The sequence below is a fragment of the Homo sapiens genome, chromosome 8 (assembly GCF_000001405.40).
Source record: "Homo sapiens chromosome 8, GRCh38.p14 Primary Assembly".
Classification (NCBI taxonomy): domain Eukaryota; kingdom Metazoa; phylum Chordata; class Mammalia; order Primates; family Hominidae; genus Homo; species Homo sapiens.
The window spans coordinates 132,119,989-132,143,669 of NC_000008.11; the positions used below are offsets into that span (position 1 = coordinate 132,119,989).

General features: G+C 42.7%; 1 protein-coding gene across 5 annotated transcripts in view, besides 2 other annotated features; it reads right to left on the bottom strand.

The window, feature by feature from the left end:
• Positions 873 to 23,681, bottom strand: part of KCNQ3 (potassium voltage-gated channel subfamily Q member 3) — a 360,235-nt gene continuing 337,426 nt past the window's right edge. For 4 of the 5 annotated variants that reach the window (NM_004519.4, XM_011517026.3, NM_001204824.2 and 1 more), the window contains exons 10-15: positions 21,141 to 21,343; positions 20,088 to 20,190; positions 17,897 to 18,028; positions 14,302 to 14,400; positions 12,192 to 12,276; positions 873 to 10,008 (exon numbers count right to left, since the gene is read on the bottom strand). In NM_004519.4, coding sequence (NP_004510.1) covers positions 9,274 to 10,008; positions 12,192 to 12,276; positions 14,302 to 14,400; positions 17,897 to 18,028; positions 20,088 to 20,190; positions 21,141 to 21,343 — 1,357 coding nt within the window. In that variant the 3' untranslated portion in view covers positions 873 to 9,273. The remainder of the gene's footprint in view (positions 10,009 to 12,191; positions 12,277 to 14,301; positions 14,401 to 17,896; positions 18,029 to 20,087; positions 20,191 to 21,140; positions 21,344 to 23,681) is intronic. The other variant, XM_047421769.1, reaches the window with a different exon arrangement.
• Positions 8,845 to 9,345: an enhancer, noted in NCBI's record as "H3K4me1 hESC enhancer chr8:133141080-133141580 (GRCh37/hg19 assembly coordinates)". NCBI's record gives its function as "activates a minimal SCP1, AML or CMV promoter by ChIP-STARR-seq in primed H9 embryonic stem cells {active_cell/tissue: H9 hESC(primed)}" and the evidence as "EXISTENCE:reporter gene assay evidence [ECO:0000049][PMID:30033119]".
• Positions 9,346 to 9,846: an enhancer, noted in NCBI's record as "H3K4me1 hESC enhancer chr8:133141581-133142081 (GRCh37/hg19 assembly coordinates)". NCBI's record gives its function as "activates a minimal SCP1, AML or CMV promoter by ChIP-STARR-seq in primed H9 embryonic stem cells {active_cell/tissue: H9 hESC(primed)}" and the evidence as "EXISTENCE:reporter gene assay evidence [ECO:0000049][PMID:30033119]".

Here is a 23,681-nt window from a genome sequence, read left to right on the forward strand (position 1 = left end):
TTAAATTGTAAAATACTGCATCTCCGATGCTTGGTATATGGTAGATATCCAATTAATATTTCTTAAATACATGTTTCTTGAAGTGAACTGAATAGAAGAAAAAAAACAAGAATTCTAATCAATACCCAAATGTTTAAGGAAACAGAGTTGGCAAACTGGCCTATGAAGGGATTATACCCACCAATGGTCCAATTGATAATAGAGAAATATTTAGGACATGTTCTTGTTTGCTGCATTTGAAATGTGTACCACTAGTAGATAACTCTTGCCAACACTTTATGCTATTAAACTGCTGCCACATATATATTTGTAACTCCAATGACTCCCAGGGGAACTTTGTGGTTCCCTTACTTTATTCCCTGTGCAACAACTACACTTGGGTTAGACGTAGTCATTACTCAATACTAACAAGGAGATCTACAGGATCAATCATAGTATTCTTGTGGTGAGCAAAGAAATATATTCAACACATTTCCTCATGCTGGGCATTCATGAAGACTACATTTCCCAGCCTCCCTTGCAGATTGCCCCATACCATGTGACTGAGTTTAAGCAATGAGTCTGTGAGTGGGAATGATGAGTCACTTTGAGTCCAAGGCAGGAAGATGTGGGTATGGCTTTTCTAGAGCCTCTCCTCCTGGCAATCTGGCTAGAAGTGAAGGACTCCAGCTCTTCAGTAGCCCAAATCCTTGCATCACTCTTTGAAACTCAGACAATCTACACTGGACTGTGATTTGAGCAAGAAATAAATCTTTGTTGCATTAGGCCGTTGATATTTAGAGCTTTTCCGTTAGCAACAGTCAGTGTTGTTTATGATAAATAATACAATCTCATAAAAGTTGTTCTGAAGCAAATAACATTCCTCCACATAATCACTGAAATGTCTATTTATTAATAAGTGGTGCAGTATTTATTTAAGATAGAACATAAAAAATCAGGTAAGAATTATTTGCATAATATATATGGAAATCAACCTATTAAAGTTGTTCAAATATTGGACAGAGCCAGAATATAAATTACACATACAGTTTAAAAATTACAGGAAATCATATTATAAAGAGCACTAAAGGCCACTTGTGGAATAGTTGTGTTCCCCTGTAAGCCAGAATGTGAAGAAAGCCTACTCGTAGCACAGAGACAAACCCAGGGAGCAAGGCACCAGAATTCTATGCCATAAAAAGGGGTTAAAAAATACAATCCAAAATCAAATATAATGGATTCATGTCACTGGGAACCTCCATTTGTTCTTCAAAGACTGGTGTTTTCCATCACTGCTACATTAGAAAAAGAAGGAAAAAAAATAGCCATATCCTATCTGAAGCAAGGCAGAGATCATTTTTCTCTTTAAAACAAGGAAGGACTGACAAATCTGATGAAGTCCACCTATCTTTCTAAGTTGATTTTTCAGGATGGCACAGAGCCGACTTCACCTCTCCAACAGCAAATCTCTGATCCTTGGCAAAATGGCTGCCCCAAATCTTGCAACTTGGCCACCACCTGGACTCTTAACCCTCAGGGGAACTATGGGGGTGGGAACTGCCCCCTCCTTGGAAAAGTATTCAGAGGGGTATAGAAGGGCCCAATTACCAGATCAGGTTGGCTTCCATGGGAAACCTTGATCTTTTAATACTGAGAAAGAGAGACACAACTGTTCTGAGCTTTTGGCCTCCCACAGAATGTTTTTATAGACTCACCTGTTTCTGCAGAATTTCAGAGCTCAGAAATAAAGGTACAGTCTAGAGACAAAAGACCAGAGTCAGCAGAGACGTGGAGATATTTGAACTTGTTTGGTTAAAAACAATGACAGGAGCTCCTTGGGGGCAGAGAACAAGGGGCACTTGTGGATGATCTGCAGCCACACCAAGCCCCGAGAGCTAATGGATTCCAATGTGAACCAGGTGAATAATTTATGAGGCATTATTTTCTGCCACTGACAGCTGGATTGTGAAGCCACTCAAAGGACCTGCTGAACAGACAAGAGGAACAGCTGACCCAGGCATCACTCTACTCTCCAGGGAACTCATGGGTCTGTGATCATTTTACTGTAAAGCTGAGTGAACGTAGAAGCCCGAAGCATTGTGGAGGAGCTAGGGCCTGATTTGAGAGGAAGAAGGGGGAGAGAGAATGAGCTTTCCAGGTACACGGGCTTTGGTTGAATATGCAGCTCTACTTCTTACAATGTGTGACCTTTGACAAGGTCTTGTCTTCAGTTTCCTCATCTATAAGATGGAGACAATAACATCTCCCTCATGGGGTTGCGATGAGGATTGCATGAACTTTAGAGAGAGCTATCATGTCACAAGCAACTCATAAGGAGTGCTTAGGATAAGTTTCTCTCCCCTTCCCTGACCTCACTTTTGTGGGCAGAGGAAGAGAAGGGAACATTAACATAAAATATGGTCTCATTTTTTATTACTCTTAGGTATCAAATTGCAGTCCATTCGACAAGTCTAAGAGGAATTACAAATACATTCCTGAGCACTGAGCTGGGCTTTTGACTACCTCATTGTAAGCCATTCTCAAGTTATTCTTATATACAGCCGATTTTTGGCGGTGTCAAAGAAATTCATTATTTCCCTTGAAGCTTATTTTAAGCCCATAACAGTGCTATCTGGAGGATGAAGGCTTAGGTAGAATGACAATCTTTAAAATTACTGGGCCAACTATTGTTGTTCTAGAACTTGACCATCCTTCTTTCTGAATATCTCTTAGGAGCTTTCACTTCAGCCTGACTCAGGAGAACTGAAACATCCTACCACAGGGATTCACAAGGACTGCTGGGGAGCCCTGCCAAATTCTGGCCGATTTATCCCGAGAACAATGTAAGTGGAAACTAACAATGAAGATGTTCATTTGAGCCAACAGAGGCCTGTTTACTTCCTAAAATAATCTCTTAGTTACATAACCATAAGATGTCCTAAGTTGAGTCCTGTCTGCTTCTTTGTAGCTTTTGGTGAAGGCCCTAGAGTATCTGCTTATGTCCTGACAACATGGGGATTCTCTGGGACAAGGCAAGAGGACCCAAGCTGTGTTCAAATGAGACCCAGAGATCCCAGTGCAAAGGGACACCTTTGGTAAAACTGGCCACTTTGGGTCATATAGATCCCAAAAGAAATCATGCCTGACTTCCTAAAATCAAAACCATAGGGATTTATCAAGAAGAAACCCTGTTTAATTGGCCTATAGATGAGGATGCAACCTAAGGCATGACTGTTGCTGAATGAGCCCAAGTGATGGGCCAAAAAGGTGAACCAGTCCAAACATGGCAGGACCAAGAAGGAACAAGGTAGGAGAGGGCAGAGGGGTGGAGGGCAGAGAGGTGGAGGGGAGGAGTGCCTGCATGGCCATGGGATTGTTCTTCATTCCCTTTCTCAACTGCACCCAGCAGCAGTGGTTTTTGCTAGGCCTTTTGAAGACAGCAGGAATCTGGGAGAAGGAACATCATCGTCTTTCACAGCATGGAAACATCAATCTTATTCCAGAGAAGGGAAGAAGTCCCCAAAGGTATGTCCGGTTTAACAGTTTCTCAAGTGGGCCAGGAAGTTCTTTTTCATGTTCTGGGCTCAATCGTGATGCTTTGATTTCACTTGGTATTTTACTTTTAGTTTTGTCTCTAACATCTGGAGCAAAGATCAGAAGACCTGAGTTCCAGATTTATTCTGTGACTCAATCACTGCTTCAATCACTGAGGGACGTGGTGTGATGTTCTTTGCTCTGAGCTTCTGCTTCTTGATCTAAAAAGACAGGTGGTTGTTCTGGGTGATCAAAATCTCTTCTTGCTCTGTGTATCTTAGAATCCATGAAATTATGTCTCTTTGCATCTATGATAACAAATCAAAATATGAATCACAATTTTCTTACAGGGTTGCTGAGGTTAAAGCCGTGAAAGCCTGGGAACAAATCTCCCCAGGGAAGGTTTAAGCAAGCATTAACTCTTTCTTCTGCAAGTTCCCCCATTCATTGCTAGGGTGTTGTCTGATAGCCACCATGCACAGTTGACTTTCCTTGGGAAATCATGAGTCTTTTATTTTTGCAATTTGGCTTTATCTCCTACACATCATCCAGATGGTGCAACATCTGGTACTATATGTCCAATGGAATTGCCACAACTCAGCCACTGAGATCCAACATTCCTGCCTCTCTTCATTCCAAGATTCCTTCTGTTCTTTATTGTGGTAGACAAGAGCAAGCATTTTTATTTGCAGAGATGTACTTATTTAAAAAGCAATTGTGAAAGCATTTGATTTAATAATTAGGATTGTTTCTCCACGATTCTTTTTCTGAAAAAAAATTTTTTTGGTGTAAATTTAGAGTTTATAAGTAACACCAAAGACTGAGACAATGAAGTCCATGCATACTGTAAAAAAATAACATAAATAACAGTCCCTAGTATGCATCAGTCATTGTACTAGAGGCTTTGTGTGTACATTGATTGTCTCACTTGAAAATCAAAACACGGCAGAAGAGTCAAATGCTTTTGAATGTGCTGAAACTCAAATTTTCTTCCAGGTCATCTCTGTATGATTCCTCTTTTACACTGCCATTACTGGCTTCTAAAACCACTAAAGCTATGCAGATAGCCTGGTCCTAACATGTTCTAAACTGGGCATTAGTGAGGGGCTGCCTGCTGGCTTGTTTAGGGGCCAGTTGGCTCAGTTTGGAATGGTTTAATATCAGCAACAATAGCATTGGGTTGATTTGAATATAAACAACTTAGACTTTAAAAGTTCATCCTGAAAAACAAGCCTTCAAGGACAAGTGAGGACATGAAGCAAATTCCTAAGGATGCCTGGGGTTCAGGAAGCAAAGAAGAATCTTTGGTTATTCATGAAAACCAAATACCAGCTATGTGGCATCTTCTGGGAAAGCACAGGGGTGGGAGAATCCTGGGGTGTGTTTGGCAGCACTGTCCAAAGTACAGTTGACTTCTTAGGCTGCTGAACAAATTTCTTCTCTTGCCCCAGGAGAATTTGATCTGCAGGTTCCCATAAGTAGAGTAACATCTTTCTCTTGAAATAGGTGCTGTGTCATAGTCTGTATCATAAGCTTCTCTTGGTCAACATAATGAAATGAAAGTAACTCAGCTCCTTGACTGGTATCAATCTTAGCAGGGATTAGGAGACAAGAAGAAAGCTGGTTTCTCCAACAATCTTCCTCAGATTCCCTAGAATCCCCCCTTTTTGCACAGCTTCTCTGGAGCTATGAAGTTCAAAGCATTGAATCCAAACTCGAAGTCCCCATTCAACCCACTCAGCCTTGACTGGGCTGATTGGATCATTGCCATTTTGATGTAGAACCTTTGCTCTCATTTTCATGTTCAATTTTCTATAGTTTCCAAGCTAGGAAGCATTTCTGTCTGTATAGAGTTGTTTGCAGGGATGAAATCAGGTATTTTATTTTCCTGGTAGACATAGTTTGAAGGGACCTCTGATGTTTGAGACCTCTAGATTCCTAGCATTTTGATGGCAGAAACTGTGGTTTTCTTATCTCTGAACTTCCAGTGCACTGCAAAGTTCTGGGCATATATTGGTGCTTAATAAACCCTGTTAAATGAATAAACAAATGATTTTTTCTTTATTACACCCCCATTTCAGTAGCATGGAATTATGAGGATGATTTTGCCAAATTATGAGTAGGTCCTATTAGATTAGGTTTTTCTACAGGAAATTATTCTTTCAAACTACAGTGTCTAGGAAGTACCTTGCACAAAATAGACACAGGATGCATAATTGTTGATTAATTAGTTCATTTTAACCTATACACCTTGGGGTTATCTAGTTATGTTTTCATGAAAACTAGGGCTTTGTAATATCAATGTCATGTCTAATAAGCCTAAATTTCCAGTTCTAAAAACAAAGTTATTCAACAACACTTTCTCAATTTGATGTGTTTTTCTTTTCCTGAAATAATTTTTTTCTTAAGCTTTTGATATTTGCTTTTGTGCTGACATTTGATAGTCAAAACTCAAACGATCTCAAGTACTTCTTTCTCAGCTCAATAGGATCATGTTTCGCTTAACATTTGTGAAGTTGATTTATCTAATTCATTTTGATCTTGCTAAAATATGACCTTTAAAATTTTTCATGTCACATTGTGACCCAGAAAGACCAAATACATACATGAGATCATAGTTTTACCTGATAATATCACTCCTAGTTTGATGATGGAATTAATTTGTCAATATTTCATGGAGTTCTGCTGAAACGATTGCAATTTCTTGGGCAAGTTTCAGAACGACTAGTATATCTGTGGTCATGTCATCTTGGGTCATGTTAACCAGTTCCATTGGATTATCATGCTGTTCCCTTGTCTGACAAAAGGATCTTTGTGAAAGCACACACTGTTTCTTCCCATAACTCACATTCAATTCCAGACCCTGAATTTCTGCTTGCTCACTGTGAGCCATATTGTTGAGATTGTCTGTGCATAGGCAACTTGAGCAGGTTTGGTTTGCCTTTCTGGAATATATTTTTTGGGGAACAAAAGGAGAATATCAAAGCAGAGTTATTCCAGAAGATCATTTTTCTCTTTTCCTTTTTGTTTTCTTAAATGGGAAAAAAACAGCTCTTAAGGTTCTTATTATTTATTCATTCATAAAACATGTATTTTGTCTATGTCTATACTGATAAAGACAACTTACTAGATGTTAGACAATCAATACTTCCCTACTACTGATCAATACAAACCCAATCTCTGCTGTCCTGGTCTTATGATCCAGCAGGGAAGCTAGACTGCCTGCCTATGGTTTAGGAAATAATACAAGCTCCAATCCTTTCTAGGTTATTAAAAGAATCTAAGGTAGTTCCTCCAATTTTGGATCAATGGTAAATACTTTAAGGTAGAACTCCATTGAGTTGCTGGAAAATGCATCATCTATTGGTAAAATACTTAAGATAGTAAGTTCTTCAAGAATACTAATAAGTAAGTTAAAAAATTAATTGGCGCATATGTGGAGAGTATGACTCACTCTCCTTTATTGTTGGTTTCCAGTAACTCATGTACATAAAGAAGAGCATAGTAACATGTTGGATGTTAGGCAGGTGATCATCTCAAGTGAAAGATTCCAGGAAGATCAGGATTCAATAATCAAGCCCTCAGGAAGGGGCATAGGGTTTCTTAGGTTGTAATCCCCACTGGCACTTTCAGCCATATTGAAGGAGTGGGGAAAAGGCCCAAATAACCCATGCCCTTTGTCCTTCAGATTGCCAGCATGTCAAATGGAAGCCCGTGGGGCTTCATGTCTGATGCATTGAGCATTCTGGTATATTTCCCATCTCAGACTTCAAGGTCTACACCCATCCATTTATGGGGCTCTCCATAAAAAACACCCTTCTGCTGCTCACAATGTCTGCCCTTGGCCTGGGACTTTGGGCTTTGGTTCTAAGTTCCTAAAGTCAGGGGTCAAGCTCTAATCATTACTGTATTCTGAGCTTTTTGTACAGTAACTGTTGACATGTGAGTTGAAAGGAACCTATCTCTGAGGAAGTGATTCCTCTCTCCAACATAGTGCCAGACTCTCGTATTAGGAAATGATGAAACCATCAACCAAATGTCTGCCATAGCTACTGTGGCTCTTGACAAGACTGTGAGGGAGAATAGCAGTGTCAGCTGCATACAGACATTTGTTTAGGTCATCTGGATTATCTTGATTGTCACCATGGCAACTATCCACAACCAGTGCCTAGGTGTGTGAGAAGAGTGATACAATAATACTGTGGCATGGTCATTTAGCTAATTCAGTCTAAGCCTAACAGAAACCTTTTCCATCAAAGTTTTTCAGAGAATAACAACATCTCATAAGAGGCCAGAGGATGGCTTGTGCTTAATATCACACCTGTACAGTAGGGCAGTGCTTCCCAGGCTGTCTGCTTACATTTTAGCTTGTCTTACGGTTACATATGGTTTTAGTATTTTCATTTAAAAAATCTGGGTTGGTTCCATAAATTTGGAAAAGTAAAATTGGACGGTTCTGGAAATTTTGCCTGTTTACACATCTGTAAATGTAGCTTGCTTGCATTATTTTTTTCTAGATCTGAAATGCATTGCATCAAGCAAGCATGTTTTGCAATAAAAGTGGAAATCCCCCTCCTGCTGGATAAACTGGGTGCTTTCCACGCGACACAAAGTCATATATCTTGACACAATCTCTAGGATGCATTATATAAATGGAAGAATGGTGTGGTGAGGGGAAACAAGGTCAGGGAGAGTGGGCAGACCTGACTTTTGAGTCCTGGTTCTCTATGGGACAACTGAGTGACTCTGGGTATGTCACTTTACCTGAGCCTAAGATTCTTCATTTATAAAAGGAAGTCCTTGGACTAGAAAATTTCTGTGTGCCTTCTTGACTTTAATTTCTATTTTAGATGGATATTTTGTACTTCAGTATCATGGGAAGAAATGAGAGTTGGAAATTCATTTTAAAGGCACTGAACTCAGCTCCTGCCCAGAGGGGCACTTCACTTCTGATAAATTCCATTGTCCTTGGCTACATAAATTGGAAACTATTTTAACTTTGTGTATGTGTGTGTGTGTGTGTGTGTGTGTGTGTGTGTGTGTGTTTTCTCCCTGCCAATTCATAACTCATCAGAAATGCTACACTTGGGATTACCACCACTTTTTACAGATAAGGAAACTGAGGCATGATACTAAGTAACATCAGGCCAAGTGAGGTCTTTTGGAGAGCTTTTAAAAGGTTTTGCCTTAAATATTTGTTTAAATTCTTTGTTTTAGAGACACAATGACTATCTCATTCCTTTCCTAATGTTAGCTCAGTAGGCAGCCCCACTGATACACAATGTGGTTTTGTTGAGAAAATTATTTCCTTGCTTTCAAAAACAGTTAATTGCTGGAGCGTTTTACACAAGAGGGCAGTGATCCTAGAAATAACTTAAACTACTTTCTCTGCTTACCAAACCAAAACCCAAACCAGCCAACCAAACAGACAAATAGCATGGCTCATCAGTAATTTCTCCCTGTACTGGTCCAATCGTGATTAAAAGTAAGAACAGCAGATAAATGTGTATCCTAGAAGAGATTAGCGGAACCATTTATATAGTGTAAAGTCATGCAAACCATGCTGAAAAGGAAGCACTTTGTTGTGGTGACATGGGGAGGAAGAGGCTGTGGGAAGCCCCTGCCTGGGTGGGGCCACCACGCACACGCATGCATTTGATGCAGCCATTGGTGTCCCCGCTGGTAAGCGTCGGGTGTAAGAGTAAGTGAACTATACAAAGTCTGTCTACATTACAAGGAGGGGTCAGCCAGTGACCTCTTTTAAATGGGCTTATTGGAAGGGGTCCATACTGAATCAGAAATCCCATCCCCTGTGGACGACAGAGGCATGGAGCCGCTGGGCGTGAAGGGGTCCGTGTCTGTGTCCGTCTCACCCTCGGCGAGGTACCGCTTCTCCCTCATCCAGCTCGACCCCCCATTGGGGCCGAACACATAATCATCTCTGTCCTGGGAGATGCTGAAGCCACTTGGAGACCTCTCCAGCTCCTCGTGGTTGACCGACATCAGGGACAGAGGTGTGTCACTGTCTCGCGTGATGCTACGTCTCTGCCGGGGGGAGATTCGGTCCGAGTAGGGGCCCTGCAGGTCAGCCTGGGAGTGGCAGCTCACTCGGGAGTCGAGAAGAGTCAAGATAGGCAGGACCGTGGGCCTCTCCACATACGTTGTTGCTGAGGAAGGAGGAGTTGCCTGAACCTTTCCAGAACTGGGTCCCCCTCGGGGCAGGTTCACAGGGTCATGTGCAAAAAACCCATAGGGGCTGACTTTGTCAATGGTCACCTGGTGGAAGCTGTAGGGTGGTTCCGGGGGGCCTGTCTCAGAATAGTTGCAGATGATGGTTTTCAAATCGGAATACCTGTTGTCCTCCTTCTTCTCTGCTTCAGCTGGCGAGGAGGTGCCCTTGGTTGGGTAATACTCCGTGACCTGCACCTGCAACCGTTCCATGTGTTGCATGTGCATATCCACGAGGAAGTCCAGCTTCTTCCCCATGTCCTGAACCTGGAAAATCAAAGGAGCTGTGAATTACCACTTTCTCTGAGGGTGGGGATCGTTGCTATTGGTTGGGAGGAAATATTCTTTTTTTTTGTTTTTTTTTTTTTTTTGAGACGAAGTCTCAGTCTGTCACCCAGGCTGGAGTGCAGTGGCGCGATCTGGGCTCATTGCAACTTCCGCCTCCCGGGTTCAAGCAGTTCTATGCCTCAGCCTCCCAAGTAGCTGGGATTACAGGCACCCGCCACCATGCCAGGCTAATGTTTGTATTATTAGTAGAGACGGGGTTTCACAATCTTGGCCAGGCTGGTCTTGAACTGACCTCGTGATCCACCTGCCTTGGCCTCCCAAAATGCTGGGATTACAGGCATGAACCACCGCGCCTGACCGGAAGGAAATATTCTAATACTGTATTTACTTTTCAGAAGGGAAGATAATTCTTGCAACTCTTAATAATAGAAACAGCTAATAATTTATTTTGTGCCTCCTACTTGCAAGCCTTGCACACCAGGTATTAATGTTAATCTAGAGAAAACCTAGGCAAGGTCTTCTAGGAAGCAAAGGCGGAAAGCAGAGAGATGCTTTGAAGTGTTACAGGCCTGCTGTGTCCCCTAGAGGAGGAAGTGGCCTTGCTAATGTTGCCCGGGTCAAGGAGCAAGAGTTCTCAATTTAGGAACATTTCCTTAGACAGAAGCATGTGGACTGTTAGTCTATGTTTCTTCTACATGGTGATTTAAGCCCTAAAAATACAAGGGCAGTGGTTAGCAAGAACTGAGCTTCTCAGAACTGAAGACCCTACCTAGCAGCTTGCTCTTGCCTGCCTAAATTGGCACCTTACTTGAACTTTTGTGAATGAATATACATGAGTGTATGTGCACACGTGTGTGATGTTCTTGCTTTGACAATTCACAACTCACCAGGAAACACTGTCGTCAGGTGTATCACCCTATTTTACAGGTGAGGATATGAGCACCATGATCAGCAGATGCCAGGATAGCATCTGAGCCTCAATAATAACTGACAAGGGTCAGTTAGAAAAGTTACAATCTGACTCTGTCTTATGCACTTTATTGACTTTTGTGAATTTTATGACAATCCCCCAAGATGGATACTATTATTATCTCTATTTCACAGGCAAGAGAACAGACACTGAGAAATAGAGTGGAAATTATAAATTAAAATTTAAAATGAAAACAAAATTCTTGATACAACAAAAAGGAATAATTCAGATTTGCTTCTACCTCTCCTGCACGGGTCCCATTTAGGGTTTTGAATAAAACAAAAGGATTACTATGATCCTTGAAAAACTGGCAGTACCATTTATCTAATGTAGAGTTAGGCAGATGATGCTAGATTATGAGCTGTTTGCTGTGAAAGCAAGAGTGAGCTGCATGGTGCTGTGAGTGAGCGGGTTTCTCTTTCCACCTTGAATGGATCTCACCTGTGCCTGCCCTCCTTCCGGCCTCTTCACGCAGGCAACCCACTGCCTGGACATTGAGAAAAGGAGGACACACAACATGCAGTGGCAGGTCACTAGCATTTCCTAAGGGTTCACCATGAAATGCTTGATAATTGTAGCTATTATCAAGTGTCCACTGTGCCCGCTAATATTATGTATCAACTCAGTCCTCACAGCAACCTAATAGGGTATTATAATCCCCATACTACAGATGAGGAAAACTGAGGCTCAGAACAATTAATTAACTTGCACGTGATCACTCAGTAAATGCTGAATCAGTGATTTGATTTCCATATCTTTTTTGAATGGTAGGTAGTAGTACTCAAGTATCTTATCTCCCTTTGAAAAACAATGGTGGGGACTGGGCGCAGTGGCTCATGTCTGTAATCCCAGCACTTTGGTAGGCCGAGTTGGGCAGATCACCTGAGGTCAGGAGTTCGAGACCAGCCTGGCCAACATGGTGAAACCCCATCTCTACTAAAAATACAAAAATTAGCTGGGCATGATGGCAGGCGCCTGTAATCTCAGCTCCTCAGGAGGCTGAGGCAGGAGAATCACTTGAACCTGGGAGGCAGAGGTTGCAGTGAGTCAAGATCGCGCCATTGCACTCCAGCCTGGGCAACAGAGTGAACCTTCGTCTTAAAAAAAAAAAAGAAAGAAAGAAAAAAAAGAAATGGCATTTGAAAATAAATGTCACAGATCCAGTTTTTGGTGAGAGGAAGAAAAGACTTACCTGTCTTTCAACTTTTACAAACTTCCCCATCATGCTTTGGTCTTCGATTTCTGATGTGGATGGTCTGGCTACATATGGTTCATTCCTAAGAAGAAGCGAACACTTCTATAAGATCATTATATCTATTTTTGCTATGCAAGGTAATTTCGGCTAGGCAGGCCATGGCCAACAGAGCCATCGTTCTCACCCTCACACTTGTGTGGCATAAAAGAGCACCAATCAACTCTGGAGGCATATGTGAGTCAGGAAAAGTCAGAGTTTTTCTGCATTCAACACTGGTATCTCATGTTTACCTCCACTGTAGGAAAATTTGAAGCCAAATATCAAGCTGCTATTAAGGAGGCTTTGCTTTGTGTTAAACATTATAAAGCACCTAACAGTACCTAGAGTATCTAGTTCCTTTAAATTAAATTCCTTAGCCTTTCATTCTTAGATTTGAGATCTGAGACTTTTACTCTGAGTGTGTGTGTGCAGGTGGAGAAGGGGTCATCTAATGTCTGAAATTACTTACAGTGGGTATAAATATTTCATCTGGCCAATTTTAATAAGAATGAAGAATCCCAAATCTTGAACATGATGCAAAAGATGACACTGGTGAGGAATGGAATTGAAATGTGTGCTGAATTTGATTTTTGGTTATCCACTGTTAATATCTGCTTAATTCTGGTTAGTTTCAACATTTTTATTTTTTTTGCAGATAGAACTTTCAGGGAGTCTAGCTATTTGCTAGAAACCATTCATGCTAGGCACTTTCTCAATAGTTGATTTCTCTCTCTCATAGGCTGCTGAATCCTGCTTAGTAGGATAGTCTTTGGCTGCGAAGCCCTAAATTTTAAAAAGATGTCAGAAACTGGTGGTCCATGTGCTAAATCCAGCTGGCTAGTGTTTTCTTTGGCCTGCACGGGGTTTTAAAACATGTAAGCCATCTCAAAAATTGAGAATTTCATGTAAAAGCTGGATATTCTGTTTTCTGGAAACAGAGGATCTGCATCCCTAAAAGAAGGTAGGGCGCTCATTTCTAAAAGAAGGTAGAGACTTCATTCCTACCTCTTTTAGATGGGGCACGCATTCTCCAGGTGCCCACGGTCCCATCACTCCCTATTCTATCCCCAGGACTGAGGTTAAATATTAAAATATTAAGTTGCTTTCTATCATCACGTTAATGCTCTCGATTCTTTTTTTTTTTTTTTTTTTTGAGATGGAGTCTCACTCTTTTGCCAGGCTGGAATGCAGTGGCATGATCTCGGCTCACTGCAACCTCTGACTCCCTGGTTCAAGCGATTCTCCTGCCTCAGCCTCCCAAGTAGCTGGGACTACAGGCAGGCGCCACCACGCCCAGCTAATTTTTGTATTTTTAGTAGAGATGGGGTTTCACTATGTTGGCCAGGCTGGTCTCGAGCTCCTGACCTCATGATCCACCCGCCTCAGCCTCCTGAAGGGCTGGGATTACAGGCGTAAGCCACCATGCCCGGCCTCTTGATTCTTTTATAAGTGGAAGGTTCATAATATTTCTTAAGCCTAACTCCCTCACTCATTGTGTTACCTGCCTTGAAGACATTTGGGAATAAAGAGATGTAAATTTAGGCAGTGGACTTTCTAAAGAACATCTTATTCAAAATTTTGAAGCTTTGGAAGGAGAAGAGCTGCTCTGTTAAGGGACAAAGCTCTCTGTGTTACAATGTTGTCAGGGGGCTGATATCTGAGTGTCTTCTCTGGCTTTGTCCTGGGAGGGGTATCAATCAACTCAAAGGTAATTATGCAGGATGGAGAATGCTCTGGGTTCTGCTGATATGAAGTTTTCTTCCTGTTTCAATAAAGCTCATAAGTCTCCTCTTGTTTTGTAACAGTGTGAAACAGGTGGGGCTATTATCACTTTCAAAAGTTACAGGAAGAAATGTCATCCACATGGTCTGGGAAGAGGAGTGAGAACATTTTTGTACAGAAACCTTTCAAATGGCCACCAACTGAAACAAGCTTCAAACTCTTTCTTCATTTTACTTAGGAGAGTGACAACTTCACCCACATAAAGGACCCCAGCAGAGGTTTGGGGGTGGGGATGCTTTACAAACTTTGCACCCCTGGCCCATCAGTCCATGTCCACTGGCCCCACCTGGGAGATTGCTGGGATGGGAAGGTGAATGCTGACCCTTTCTGAGACTTCTTGTGTTTTGGCGTGGAGGGAGGTCCAGGGGTGAAAATCATATCTATTCTGAAAGAAACAAACAGAGCAGGGATTAAATTACACAGAGCTTTGTTTTGACAGGAAAACAAATCATTCTATTCTCTCTAGAATGAGATAAGGGTTTGGAATATATAAGAGGAGAGGAGAGGAGAGGAGAAGTGAGGAGAGGAGAGGGGAGGAGAGGAGAAGTGAGGAGAGGAGAGGGGAGGAGAGGAGAGGAAAGAGAGAGTGCATACTAGCTACAGAGAGAAAGACAGAGCCAGAGAGAACCTATAACCTCGGTATATTCTTCCGCTTGTTTTGATCTGGTGATACTGAAAGCATCTTTCTATCCCAGGAGAGAGGGAGGCAGACAAACCACTGAGAGAGGTGACGGCTGCATCTTGTTATTTTTTTTTTTTCATAGGAAATGTCATAGGTGGACTGCAAACCTGTCTTTTCTTCCAATTCTTCTATCCCTTCCAAAAACATCTAGTTAGGGAGCTTTACAGACAAATCCTAGGCTACATATTCAGCTGCACACATCACTGCTGCTCTGTGGGCATCTCTGGCCAGTAGAAAGATAGATCCAACACCAGCTTCCATTCCTATTTCTATTTCTGCATGAGGCACCAGCTCCTTTTTAAATAACTTTTATTTTAGGTTTGGGGGTACAGGTGAAAGTTTGTTACATAGGTAAACATGTGTCATGGGGGTTATCTTTTCTGCTACTCTCCCTCCTACCACCTTACCCCAGAACCTGTTGTTTCCTTCTTTGTGTTCATAAGTTCCTAACATTTAGCTACCACCTGTAAGTGAGAACACGCTGTATATGGTTTTCTGTTCCTGCATTAGTTTGCTAAGGATAATAGCCTCCAGCTCCAACCATGTTCCTGCAAAAGATATGATCTTGTTCTTTTTTATGGCTGCGTATTACTCTGTGAGTCATTGGTTCCTGCTCTATGCCTGGACCAATAGGAAAGAAATGTTGCCTATCACGCTGTAGGTTGGGACGGGGTGGGAGGGAAAGCAGGCTTGAAGGCTTATCACAGGTCCAGGACCATTAAGACTATGCACCCTGAAACAGTCATGGCTCCTTCCGTCTCCTCCTTGGAAACCCAGCTGCTCCTCCACTGACGGCACTTTCTTTCTCTCTTGCCCCGCAAGGTCAGCATGGCTGGGGATATGCAATCAGAGGTCCAGATGTTCACCCTCCAGCCACAAATGCTAGAAACACATTTGCTTAGTAAGTAGCAAAAACTATGCCACTGTCATAGTCCACTCTATGCTTATTAAAATTGGCTGGTATTTTTGGAGTCTGGCATGCCTTAGACATCATGCTTCATCCTCGTCTCTCGGAGAGCCATACTTGCATAAATAACAGCATGTTAAGCTCAAAATTTGTTCACACATCTATTCATTCGGCAGGCAGTGAGCACTGACTCTGTGCCTGCCACTATACTAGGAAGTCAAAGTTGATATTCCAGTTAGGGATAAAGAAAGGCCTGCTGGGTGCAGTGGCTGACGCCTGTAATACCAGCAGTTTGGGAGGCTGAATCACCTGAGGTCAGAAGTTCGAGATCAGCCTGGCCAGCACGGTGAAACCCCATCTCTACTAAAAATAAAAAATTAGCCGGGTATGGTGGCACACGCCTCTAGTCCCAGCTACTTGGGAAGTTGAGGCAGGAGAATCACTTGAACCCGGGAGGCAGAGGTTGCAGTGAGCCGAGATCGCGCCACTGCACTCCAGCCTGGGTGACAGAGTGAGACTCCATCTCAAAAAAAAAAAAAAAAAAAAAAAAAAAAGAAAAGAGAAAGGCCATGGAGAATTACACCTCCAAGCTGACAGATAGCATCATTAACTTCCAACCCAGTCAGTGTGATGTTCCTGTTCTCTAGCAGGACACTCCAGTGGGACAACATCACTCGGACAGGGAAGCTGAGGCCCAGAGAGGACGCGTGTCCATTGGAAATCTCACACATGTCAGAGAGTGAACTGCAATAGGATTTTGGTTTCCTGACTGTTATTCCATGGCTATTGACATCATAACTGCCCGTTTTTACAAAATGCTTTTTCAAAGGGCATTTTTACAGCTTATTAAAGATTTGATACATTTTAAAAGTAGAAAAAAAAAATCACATATGGAGTCATCATCTCAGTACAGCCACTGCAGTCTCTCAGGGGAAGTCTTACTCCTTTTCTCCAGGCCCTGATATGGGAAAGTGTGTGCATGTCCTGTGTGTTTCTGAATAAGCATATGTGTGCAAGTGTTTAGAATCATATCATACCTATATATTAGTTAACATCATCACAAGGTCTAGGCAGAGTATATTTATTCTGTGACACACATGACATATAAACATACATATGCACTATAGATATATACATATGCATATATATGTGTACACACATGTCCGCATGTATTATTGGTAATTATATCATGCATATATATCCACAAATCATATAATTTAAAAAATCTCATTATATACTTTTTCTAAATATTATTTTACGGCTGCATAACTTTTTTTTTTTTTTTTTTTGAGATGCAGTCTCACTCTGTCACCCAGGCTGAAGTGCAGTGGTGCAATCTTGGCTCACTGCAACCTCCGCCCCCCCAGGTTCAAGCGATTCTTCCGTCTCAGCCTCCCAAGTAGCTGAGATTACAGGCGTGCACCACCATGCCTGGATTTTTTTTTTTTTTGTATTTTTAGTAGAGAGGGGGTTTCACCATGTTGGTCAGGCTGGTCTGGAACTCCTGACCTCAACTGATCCACCTGCCTTGGCCTCCCAAAGTGCTGGGGTTATAGGCATGAGCCACTGTGCCCAACCAATGACTGCATAACATTTTAATGAGAGCAGGTACCATTCTTTCCTTACCCATTGTTTTATAATTAAGGAAATATGGTGTATTAGAGAGAATAGAGACTTTCTAATCAGTTGGAGCTGGTTTGATTCCCAGCTCTGCTCCCTGCTAGCTGGGTAGGTCCTCTGTCCTTTCAGCTTCAGTTTCCTCATTGGAAAAATGGCACTCTAATGCAATATCTTGTGATTTCATAAGGGAGTATAAACACGCAGGTGGAGTACTCAGGAGTTCAATAAAAATGATGGCAATTATTAGTTAGGCATTGATGCTATTTCCATATCTTTCACTATTATAAGTAATACCTGATGAACATTTTTAAATATGGTAAAGAATTGTATTGAGAATTAATTAGGCAGCTGGATTCGGTTTAATTCGGATGATCCTGTTTTGTTGGCAACATCGAAAGCATCACAGTCAGAAGCCATTTAAATGTGTGCTTTCTCCTCTCTGACAGGCCTGATCAGGGTGCTGACCTTGGCCATGGCAATGTCATACAGCTATTTCACAGTCTGTCCGATCTGGTGCTTTGTTGGCCTAGACATCCACAAGGCTTCGTGGATATTTGTCTTCTTAAAATCTCTCCCTGCATTTTGAATTATTTCTGAATACCTCTCACCTTAAACTCTAAGGTTCATAGGGCTTTGAGGGGAGCGCAGTCCCTCCAGATGTGACTGTCTCACCTCGTCTGAAGGTACTTTATCCTGGAAAGCATGTCGAGATGCCCGGCAGAATACTGCTCAATCACATCCTTCACATCGTAAGGCCTCAAAGTCTCCTTGAATTTTTTTTTATAGAGACGGAATTGTAGAATTCTGCAAGGCAAAGTAGAGGCATTTGTGCATCCCATGTGGAGAGTGCGGGGAGCTATAACAGAAGGCTAGCAAACTCCAGGGCAGGGGGAGAAAAGAACCAAAGATAAAAGAGCTTGCTGGAAGAACTTCCAACGTTTGGTTCTGGTTCTACCCCTTGGAACACACAGAGTTAGTACATCTCCATCAGGATTACTCCCTTCAATCATTTGAATAATAAGTAAATCATAGTATTAATAAGAGCTAACATTTATTGAGCATTCACTGTATGCCAGACCATGAGCTTAATTAATGCTTTATGAACAATCCTGATAACAGATCCATTTATAGATGATGTGATTGTGATTTGAACCTTCAGCATCATCCCAGGGCCATATAGCTAATAAGGGCTGAGCTGGTCCTCAAACCCAGACAGGGTGCTGACAAGGCTGGTGCTCTTAATCACTGTCACACTGCTTGCTATTTGAGGACAGCTGATATATCTCATCCTCAAGAGCCTCTTTAATTATTTTACTTGTGAGCTCCTAGAAAAGAAAACCTGGTTTCTGTTCCCTGAGTTTTCTCAGGTTCCTTATAAAGTGGGGCACCCAGAACTGGTAGATGAAATCAAAGCCTCACCTCCATCCTTTATTGGTTCCTCCCTGAGCCTCATCATAAAGTTAACTTCTGTTGAGCACAGAGTTTGTTCAAATCCCTAATCACAGGTCAGTGTCAGGAGGTCACAGCCCTTCCCAGGCCCTTCCATCTGGTGCTTGCGCAAGTCGTTTTAATGGTGCATTCAAAGTTCATTTTGTTTGTCATAGCTCGTGGCTTCAGCCTCTAAACATTATTTTTGGTATATTGATTATGGTACTATCTAATTTGCTTGCCATCCTTCCCATCTTTGTGCCACTTTATAAGCCTTCTCTTTACATAGTTCCATACAGGTGAGAATCTATAAACTAAGGCTCACAGGCCAACTCTGGCTCACTGCCTGATTTTGATAGTAAGGTTTGACTGGAACTCAGTCACACTCATTCCTTTAGGCACTGTCTATGGCTGCTTTTGTGCTACAATGATAGAGCTGAACACTTGCAGCAGAGACCTATGGACCAGGAAGCCTAAAACATTTACTATCCGACCCTTTCAAGAAAAGTTTGATGACCTCTGAATTAAGACATCAATGAAAATGCTAAAAGAAGAGAAGAAGACGGCAGAGACTAGACTATGCAGCGTCCCAGCAGAGATCACCCTCCAGGTCAACACAGGTTTATTAACTGGTTTTCTCTGAATAAAGGCTTTCAGCCAGTGAGGAATCCAGATAGCTGTGTTTTCATACAACCACATTTCTGTCATATCCTACATAAAGGTGTCAGGAAAATCCACGTCCAAGGCTTTGCTGAGGTCTACACACTGTAACACTACTGTGCTTCCCTATCTATTGGACTGGGAATCTTGCGGAAAATACCATGATCAGTTGGAGAATTCACCTTAGTTTCTAGAATTCACTGCTACCTTTATGAAGTGCTTACATGCTGATAAAGTTTAGGTAATAGCATACTTTTTTTCATTTTCTTGCAGAATTCTAAAGCAAAACAGAAATAGGTAGAATGGATTATGGTCTCTGCTGATACAGACAAAAAAATACTATAATTTATTATCTTGTTAAAAATGCGAACTAATTAAAACAAACTATATGGATGAAGTTAGGCAGAAGAAAAACCATTTTGAGCAAGAAGCCTCTACAGGAAGAAAACCCTCCACTCTGACACCCTTTAAAATACATGGTAGTTACAGACAGAGCAGAACATAGCAGGTGGAAATACTGTCAGGAGGGCTGTGGGGCGTGTTTATAACAAGGCAGGTACCTACGAGTCACCCATCATGACTTGCTAACGTCTGGATCATTTTTTCTGGGGCAGCATACAGTATTTACATACTTCAGGGACCTAACTCAGGGTTAGTGGAGGGGCTTCTCTTCCCCCTTCCCAAAGTGCAAGATAATTTTATAAGCCCCTTCCTGTGGGAGTTGAGCTGGAGCGGGGGAGGCACACAGGCACAGGTGGGACCGTGGGGGCATTACCTGACGGCTCGGATGGCGGCCTTCAGGGTGGGGATCATGTCTTCGATGGGGAAGTCATTCCCATAGCCCCTGTCTTCCGCCATGGGGTCACCTGTCCCGGCATCTGGGAGGGAGACACACATATGAACGGCAGGCCACAGACCTGGAAAAGGCTTGGGGACCCCACTGTTCGGTCAAAGCCTTCCACGCCTCTGGATGTGTCAATCCCCAGAGTCTTTATTTCCACGTTGCAAGACTCCACGGTATTCTCAAGCTGTGATGCTGTTCAGCCTTTCTTGGCACCCTCATTCTATTACCCAGAAGTCCAAGTCAAAAGTGTGCGCAGCTCATGACTGGTAGTGAGGGAAAAGGCTAGCAGGGAGGAGAAGTGAGCTCCGCAGTTCCAGAGTGGCCCCCAGAGCCAGAAGCCAGCAAAGGACACAGAAGCCAGCAAACAACACACACTGTGCAGGCCTCAGCTGGGACTTTTGCTCTGTCAGTCTCTATCCTGGTGACCTTGGAGAAGTCACTTTCTGAGCCGCACACATCAGAGGCCTTGGAGAGAACTGAATGATACAATGAGGATTGAGGGCCTGGGTGGGCTCAGACACTGAGGAAACAGGCTTTTCTGCATGTCCTCCCTTTGCATAAGTAAAAGAGGCACATGAGGCCATGGCTCCTACAGCCTCCAGAGGGCGCTTTTCTGCCACTCTTCCCGTGCCCTGGTCTCTAAATTGCTTTGCACCTGGCACCGCCCCATCCTTCAAGTTGACCTCCATAACAATCCAATCATGGGGCGGGGGGTCGGGGCGGACCCTTAGAAACCAAGGTGACAGGTTTCCAGGCTCCTAACTTGGGAGCCTGCAGCCCTAGACTCCTGGGAATACATCACAATGCCTCAGCCCAAGGGACAGGAGGAGTTAGGGAAGCAAGAAGTTGGCTTGTCGAGGGAAGGGAGAGAGTTACCTTGTGGAGTCAAAGGTTCTTAAGTGGGCAAAGGGAGAGGTGAGGAAGGAAGTGGACTTGGGGGAGGAAGAAGTGGAAGAGACAGGGAGGGAGATAAAAAGGCATTACCTTCAGAACTCTGCCAGAAAGCGTAGGCTTTCATGCGGAAGGCCGTGCGGAAACGCTCTTTATTGTTTAAGCCAACAGGCTTTGGTTCTTTAGAAGGACTTTCTTCTATGGCATCTACATTCAGAGGGGTAAATAGCTTTCCTTTAGTATTGCTACCACGAGGATTAGAAAGGCGAACCCGATCCAAGAGACCCAGCTTTTGGCTACAAAATAAGCAAAAGTGAACAATTTTCCTCCTTCAGTGCAGGCTCTTAAAATTTCCCATCCCTCCATAAAGACTCACACATTCTCCTCCAAGGAGAAATGGGGACCGTGCATTTCACAGTGCTGAATCTGACTCAGCAGCTTGGAATCGGACAGGGCGTGGTTCAAATCCTAGCTCCACAGCCTGCTAGCTCTTATACCCTGGGCAAGACTTCTCTGAATGTCAATTTTCCCATACGATTAAATGTAGCTTACATGAGGTGCCCGCTATAAATTGCCTAGCTCATCCTAGTATGCTGCAGAGATTCATCTTTCCCCATGCCCATTTCCTGCATCAATAACTTCCTGCCTTTCCTGTGTATCATCCCATGGTACCCAGATAGTGATTTACACAGACAAATCCTTATCAAAGGATTCCTCCTTGAAAAGAAACTGACAACACAAATGACGTAAAGCAGCACTCTTAATTTGGTGTCCACAAACAGACCCTCATGGATAGAATTTGGCAGTCCGTGAGTTTGGATGGGGAAAAATACATTTTTAATTTACTAACTTCTAATGAAAATTTAGCATCTCTTTCCAGTATGAATGTGGGCAACAAACTCCAGTAATATCCTAAATGCCTGAGACTTGCCACAACAGAAATCACAGATAATTTTATATCCTGTTATTTCAAGGTACTGTTTATGCTCATGCTGGCTTCCAAATTATGGTGGTATTCAATCTGCCACCAGGTTCATCACAAAGATGCACATATATGACTACATCTCAAAATTTTAAAGACTTTGATAATGCTGTTTCCATATAATCAGCTTCTTTTGTATATTGTATTTTGTTTATAGATTCAAAATTATTCTGAGAAGGGGTCCATGGGCTTCATGATACTTCTAGAAGAGTTCCTGGTACAAAGAAAATGGTTAATAATGCCAATATAAAGTTGCCCTGGTGCAAAAAGCCAGTTGCACCTTGACTTAAGCCCAAGTCCACCCTTCCCATCTGGCTGACCTTCGGCAAATCTGTGACCTTTTTGAGCCTCAGTTACCTTGTCTGTAAAGTAGGGATAAGCATTCCCTGCTTTATCTGGTTGCTATGAGATGATGTTTATCCAGGATTCGGCATAGAGTGTGACACAGAGCAGGTGCTCTGTACATGTTAATTTCTTCCATTTCTCAGCTTTTGCCCCCTTACCCTAGTGAGCACGAAGGATAAAGTCCTTTTTTGTGGTACTTTCCAGAGAGTGCCACATTGCGTGTTTTCGCCCAGTGGTATACTCAATGCAGCAGCTTCTGCTCCCTTACCCCACACAGAGCTTGGCACACAGGAGGCATTCCCTCATGTACTTGTGAAATAAATGAGAGAGTGAATGAATATGGGTGATCAAATCAGCTCTGCATGGGTTTGCGATAATTTTGTGTTTTCTGAAGAGCATGTCTGGTTAGGCTAGTCATGTGCCCCTGCCAGAAGCTGCTGCTACCTTTGAAGCTGGGTGCAGTGTGGAGGTCATGGTGTTGTGGCTGCTGGAAGGGGAGTGAACACTCCTTCTGCCACACAGTCACCCTGTGCTTTCTGAACACCAGGTCCTCGTCTGTCATGGCGGCCTAACAACATCTGCTTCATAGAGGGTTAGGGAGTGTTACATGTGATAATTTCTGTAACATTTCTTGCCTACAGTCCAGCATACGGAAGGCATTAAGAAACCTTTGAAAAACAAACGAGTGAATGAATGAATGAGTATATGAATGAGCAGTGAGCAGTTGTTATTCCTGACTTCCTCTGGATCTGTTCTCTCTCACCCAGCACTGTTCCAGCAGTTTGATTGAGGAACTCCATTAATAACCAGCCCAGGATAAATTTAGAAAAACGCCAATGCTCAGCCAGCTCCATCTTCCTTGAACTGAAGTCAACATTTTTGGAATTGCTTTCCTGGCTGCTACTAGATAAATGACTAATAGGACAGAGCCCATGGGCTAAAAATAGTGAATGAAGCAGGAACTGAGCTGAACACACATTGAAGTCTTTCTGGCACTGCGCTGTATGGAGACAGTACATTTCCATGCCTGCCCGCCCCACTGGACTATGCAGTGCTAGCAAGGCAAAGACTCTGCCTGGCTATCTTTGAACACAGCACATTTCCCTGCTCAGAACATCTGAATGTTCAGTACGGCAACTAAGATCATGGGCAAAACCAGCCTGGTGGAAGCATCCTGACAAACCATGTGACCTAGGACACATCATTTGTGCTTTCTGGTCTCCAGTTTCCTCATGGGCAGAATGATGACCATAAGCCCATGCTTTTCATAGATGTTTAAGGGTTAAATGAGGTAATGCATGTCGAGT